At 42.9% G+C, this 6422-nt stretch overlaps 1 annotated feature.

The window, feature by feature from the left end:
- Positions 4669 to 4718: an enhancer, noted in NCBI's record as "active region_19624". NCBI's record gives its function as "activates an Ori minimal core promoter by ATAC-STARR-seq in GM12878 lymphoblastoid cells {active_cell/tissue: GM12878}" and the evidence as "EXISTENCE:reporter gene assay evidence [ECO:0000049][PMID:35858748]".

The following is a 6422-nucleotide window of genomic DNA, read 5'->3' on the forward strand; positions in this document are numbered from 1 at the left end:
AGATTACAGTGAACACAGCAAGTCTTTTTCTTTTTTTAAATAACAAGTCATAAAAATGTCAACCCATTTATGCATGGAAATATCCTAGAGACCAAAAGGGATGTATCAGACCAAAAAAAAAAAAAGAAAGAAAACCCAGAAAGGAAAAACACTACATGAGAAAGAACTGGAGGTCTAAATTCTTTAGGAAGAGAGTACATGTGACTATGGCAGGGTGGAGGTGGGGAGGGACAGTCACCCTGAAAATGACTTCAGGGTCTTAGGAGACAAATTCCAGATAGGCAACCTGCCCGAAAAGCTTTGATAAATGACATTTCTGCTAATACCAAATCAAAAGAAAAGATCAGTTTCCCCAGTGAATGAGGCTGAGCGAATCATACATCTGGGCGCTTTGGCATGCCGAGTAAATGAAATCATCCAGAGAGTCTAAAGAGAGTTATGTCTCTGCGGCTGAGGCTTGTTTATGGAAAAATGAGTTTCGGGGCTTGGCTTTGCTTAGGCACAGAGCATTCTGAGCTGTGGGTACACTGGTTATTCTTTACAAAGTAGTTCTTGTCCTCAAGAGCAAGTGTCCTGATTTCAGGCCTCTGCGGGAACTCAAAGTTTGGACCTATCAGTTTTCTTCATTTCCTGTGGGCTAGGCCACCACCCCTGTCGCAAAAAGCAGCTTTTAAAACTGCACCCTCAGTTCACTTGAATGCTGGTGCCTCATCCGAATAAGGAAGCCAAGAAACACACGAAGTGTATATGGGCTGGAAGCACAAAAATGTAGCAAGAAACGATGTGGCTATTTTACAGCATAACTAGCCTCATTCATACTCCCCTCCACACACATAGACATCCCATAAAAGTAGAGTTGCCTCTCCTTTCTTAGAGGTAGACTGAGCTTTTAAGACTCAGAGACTATAGGACAGATTACTTTCCAAGCTTGTTGCTGTGCAAGTTCCTATTCCCATATTATTCTCCAGCAGAAAAAAAACAAATTACTTATTGCCATTTTCTTCATTCATCAAAAGCATTGTGTAAAACTAGGACAAAACTAGGACATAACACTTGATAAGAGCCTTTAATTATGTTTCTTTGTCCCAAGTCTCTGTGGAGAGTTTAGTATTTCCAGAATAAACTTGATGTGATACCAGGGGATATGAACTCTTGTTAATATTTGAGAGAACAAAAGAAAGAATTAAAATTGTATCAGGAATGATGAGAGAAGACATAGTGGGCAGGATTTGGAGTTGTGCGTCAAACATATAATTTGTGGCCCCTTTTTCCCTTCTTGGAAAACTTTTCTACTTTCTCTAAAGTATGCACAGTGAAAGTAACTCTAAGGAGACTTCCACTGGTCTATGCCCATTTCTTTAGTCTCTTTAGGTTTGCAAATAACAGCAAATATTTTTAGGGATGGAAATGAGAAAGAAGGGTGGAAGAGTTTGTGCTGTAGCCACAGAGAGGCTATCAGTGAGAATCACTACTGCTATGGGGGTATTTTGCTGACCTTTATTTTTTATTTATTTATTTTTTTGAGACGGAATCTTGCTCTGTCCCCCAGGCTGGAGTGCAGTGGCCTGATCTCGGCTCACTGCAACCTCTGCCTCCTGGGTTCAAGTGATTCTCCTGCCTCAGCCTCCAAGTAGCTGGGATTACAGTCGCACATGCCACCGTGCCCAGCTAATTTTTTTTATTTTTAGTAGAGACGGAATTTCACCATGTTGGCCAGGCTGGTCTCGAACTCCTGACCTCAGGAGATCCACCCACCTCGGCCTCCCAAAGTGTAGAGATTACAGGTGTGAGCCACTGCGCCCAGCCTGACCTTTCTCTGTTACACTCACCCAGTAATTTATTAGATCACCAAAAGAGAGGACGTGTTTGAGAAGGGGCATAGTTCTCCCTGACTCTGCTTTAAAACACATGAGGGTATGCAAGTAAGTAAACATTTCTCTTGTCCAATAAGGTTCACGGTGTTTGCAGACCCAATGAGTCCTAGCTAGCAGTTGTAGGGAACAAAGCTTATTAGGCTCATCCATGTTTCCTACATGAACTCCAGCTCCTCTCCATACCATCCTTCATTCACTTCACAGATATCTTACTATCACTGCAAGAACTCTCTTTGCAGTTCTTGAAGCACTTTGGGGTTCCAGAGTTTCCTAAAGAAGACAAATGTAGCTAATTAGGAAAATGTTAGCATCCTTGAGACACTAATAAGGTATATGGGGCACAGGAAATATGGTGCACATGGAACAATTCTGCCTGGGTTCAAAGCCCAGCTCTGCCCCTGCCAGCTGTGTCACCTTGCATCTTGTGAGGAATCAGAGATTATTTATACAAAGCGGGTGTTCCAGGGCTAACCCATAGAAGATGTAGGAAATATTCATTTTCTTCCTTCTTTTCCATCCTTTTCCTCCCAACTTTGTGAAATTACCTGGAACTTAAATTCAGGAAGAACGGGTGCCCAAAGGGCATTCTGTCTTGTGTTCCCATGTTCCCACACTGTCAATAGAGGCTGCCCCTCACCACAGTCAGAGGGGACAAAGGAAGAGACCACAGGGGCAGGCTTTCCAGGCTACACAATGTACTTTGCTCCTGGATATGTCTGTTGAAAGTTGGCAGGAGACAGCACAGTGGTGTCCTGAAGGTCAGTCTCAGATGGCTGTCTCATAGAGATGTTTCATAGAGGGTTCCTCTAACTGGCAGCTGCAATTGGTTCCAAATAAATCTGTCTTACACAGAAGTGCAAGCAGCTCACAAGAGGAATAGAAATGAAATAAAATGACCTCCAAGGCACATGGGAGAGGAAGCCAGAGTGTGTGCTGCTTCCAGCCGTGTGTGCTTTGTACTCAGGAGTATCGCAGCAGGGTGGAGGAAGATAAAATCCAGAATTGGGAGAGTCAGGCCAGGGTTGCCCCCTGGGATGAATTATGGCTCTGTATTTCCCAAGGGGGCTGTATTAGGGCACAAGGGACATGTTCCTGCTCTGAGAAATGGAAAAAAAATGGAATAGAAGTAAAAGAGCCCCAAGATACTCTGCAATTATTTTGTGCTCTTGAGTAATTTGAGGGCTCTGAACTTTCTCCATTGTAGATCAAAAGGTTTTAATTAGATATTCTGAGATCCCCTCTTGCACTTCTTTTCTGGAATTCCACGATGCCAAATCTCTGTGTCCCTTATACTAATGAAGAAATGATATCTTATGGATGAGCAAATGTCCTAATTAACAGTTAATATCAGTTGCATAAATAGCTCATTAATAATTTTTAAACCATTAGATTTATCTTACACCCACCCTAAAGGATAGTGAACTTAATTTAACACATTTGATGAAGTTTGGCAGGTCTTGAGGAAGTATTTCAGATTTTACTTTTGGACACTTGACAGTTGAGAGCCATGAATGAGGAAAAAGACAGGTTTTCATGGAAACCCCAGCTCTGCTCCTTCCTCACCACGTGAACTCCAGCAAGTCACTTCACCTCTCTGAGGCTGTATTCATCATCTGTAAAGTGGGACTGATAACGATCCATACCTGATAGTAATGCTATAGGTTAAATGAGAGAAAAATAGACAGCATATAGCACATGACACATAGGAAGTATTCAGTAACTATTAACTGTTAATATCATTATCATCATCATTGCTGCAATCATTTTATCCACCACCAATGCAGTCCCTGCAGAGTCCTAGTTCAGATATTTCTATGGAGATCCGGTAATAGCTCAGGCTTTTGTACCAGGCCCTTGTATCTTCTTGTTCTATAATTCTCACCTAAATGTGCACCAGCTATAGTTTCTATCCCAGGGAGTCCCATATTTGGACGTCCAGCCTGGAATTCTCTCTTAGGTTTCAGAGCTATATACGTAACTGATCTCTGGGATGTTCTACAGACCACTCAAAATCATAGTGTTTTAAAACTGAATTCATTTTCTCCTTGAATCGTCTCTTTTTTGTTTGTTTGTTTGTTTGTTTGTTTGTTTGTTTTTTGAGACGGAGTTTGCTCTTGTTGCCCAGGCTAGAGTGCAATAGCATGATCTCGTCTCACCACAACCTCCGCCTCCCAGGTTCAAGCAATTCTTCTGACTCAGCCTCCGGAGTAGCTGGGATTATAGGCGTGTGCCACCACACCCGGCTAATTTTGTGTTTTTAGTAGAGATAGGGTTTCGCCATGTTGGTCAGGCTGGTCTCAAAATTCTGACCTCAGGTGATCTGCCTGCCTTGGCCTCCCAAAGTTCTGGGATTACAGGCATGAATCACCGCGCCCGGCCTGCATCATCTCTTCTTTGTTGTTTCCTATTCTGGTAAATGTCCTCACCATCAAACCCAGGACCTTAGAGTCACACTTGGGTTCTCAGTTTCCCTCACTTTTTTCCTCTACCCCAACACTAAATCAAGTTCTGTTCATTTGACCTTCTAAAGAACTCTTTATTTCTAGTCCAGTCCAGGCCACTACTATCTCTCTCTCTCTTTTCTAAATTGCCGTAAGAAACTCCTAACTTATTTTTGTACCTCTAATCTTATCCTCCATGTAAAAGCAACAGTAATCTGTCTAAAATTCTTATAGTGATATGTATTGCTCATTCTAATAACTTATTAATAACCACCCCTTGCTCATAGGGTAAAACCCCAGTTCCTTAACTTGGCTTTCGAAATGATTTGTGCACCTCCACAACCTGACCTCTGCCTCTGCACTCTAATCATTTTCAACTTCCTTTGGCTATGAGAAATCCCCAGCTACTCTCTTGCTTCCCAATCTCCAGGCAGCCTGTTCTCTCCTTTTGATGCAAAAGTTTCCATCTGTTTTGTTTTCTTTTTGTTGTCGTTGTTTGTTTTGGTTTGGTTTTGTGTTTTGCACCAAGTAGCTCCTACTTATCCTCAGGTCTTGGCTTCAGTGTCATATTTTGGGACGGCTTCCCTGTCCCTCAAATCTGGTAGAACTGCCACTCCTCTGAGTTCCCATGGTACACATGGCCACTGATGGTACACATACCCCTTTGGATTACGTCTGTCTGTTTACTTCTTTGTCTGTACCAGACCGCCTACTCCATGAAGGCAGAACTCAAGTCTGTCTTGTCTGTCTTTGAGTCCCTCTGCCCCATGCTCATTAAGTATATGGAAGTTGAATAAAGATAGAAAATTTCTCTATTTGTTTCCAAAGACTTTGAGGTTCATCACTTCTTTACAGAGTCTGAGCGTCCCAGTGTTGTGTGGCTGCCATAGTCAAGTGCTTCCCTTTGTGCCCAAGCGAAAAAGAGAAGAAAAGAACTGTGCTGAGGCAGGAGGCCCCACACTTTTGGAACAGTCTACTCTAGCAATGCCTCCTTATCCCCTCCCAAAAGACTGAAAAAGCTAGTAGGGTTTAAAGCCCAGACTTAAATGACATTGAACTATGCCCTATAAGACACCAATTCAGTTACTAGAGGGGTCAAGGTCAAAGTGGAATGTTTTGTGGAAAGAATAGAGATGTCATAAAACTTATAGAGTTGAGGAAATGAGTAGTTTTCTAGGAATTTTAGAATTCTGAAAGAGATTCTTGAATTTCCTGTTCTTCCTCTTCCTTGTCACCTCTTCCCTGCCTTCATACCCTCAGCCATATATGTGGCTATGGCCCACCAATAAGGATACTGGAGAAGTCCTGTCATAGAAACTCACCAAGAGAGCACTTCCACTTCTCCCCTTGGGTCCCTGCTCTAAGTCTTTGCATCTTTGCTCTTCTGGTTTTGTCACCTGGCTTCTGAAAATTCTTTAGGCCAAAAACTCCCTAGAAGCAGGGTTCAAGATGGGAATTCTTATGCACGTGATCTATTCAGGGAGTACTTCCAAGAGAAATCTATAAGAAAGTGAGAGAAATAGGACAGAGAAGGGGAAAAAACTCTAGGCAAAGATGTGGTTTCAGATGAAATCTATCTTTATTCTTCATCCTTACCCTCTGGAGGGTAAACTGTACCACAGAGCCTGCCCTATCTTAAGATGAAGAAATGAATCCTGTGCTGGTGAGTCATTGGATCAGGGCTGCCCCAGGTGGGAACAGAAGGAGTCAGGACACCAACTCCTGACACTACTGGGCTAGGCAGCTCCTGTTGCCCAAGGACACTTCCCTGGATGAGACTGCAGATGTGAGATGTTAGCAAAAGCACCCACAGCTGCTGGTAAGAGGTAAGCAGAGATTTGGCTGGGACTACAGGTCCTTTGTTTTCTGTTGGCAACTCGTTATGACCTTCTTCAGCTACAAGTCCTGGACAAGTGTGTTGTTTCTGGAAACCTCTGGTCAGTCCAGCAGCCTCTTCTCCTTCACACTCCACCCCAACCTTCCATATTTCCTGATATTATAGTTCTTTGTGAATGCTAAAATCATGATTCGTGACCCAACCATGTTCCTTGTCAGAAGCAAGGTGGGAGAAACAAATTAAGATGTTGCCATTACCACTCCCAGCTAG

The sequence above is a fragment of the Homo sapiens genome, chromosome 3 (genome assembly GCF_000001405.40).
Source record: "Homo sapiens chromosome 3, GRCh38.p14 Primary Assembly".
Lineage (NCBI taxonomy): Eukaryota > Metazoa > Chordata > Mammalia > Primates > Hominidae > Homo > Homo sapiens.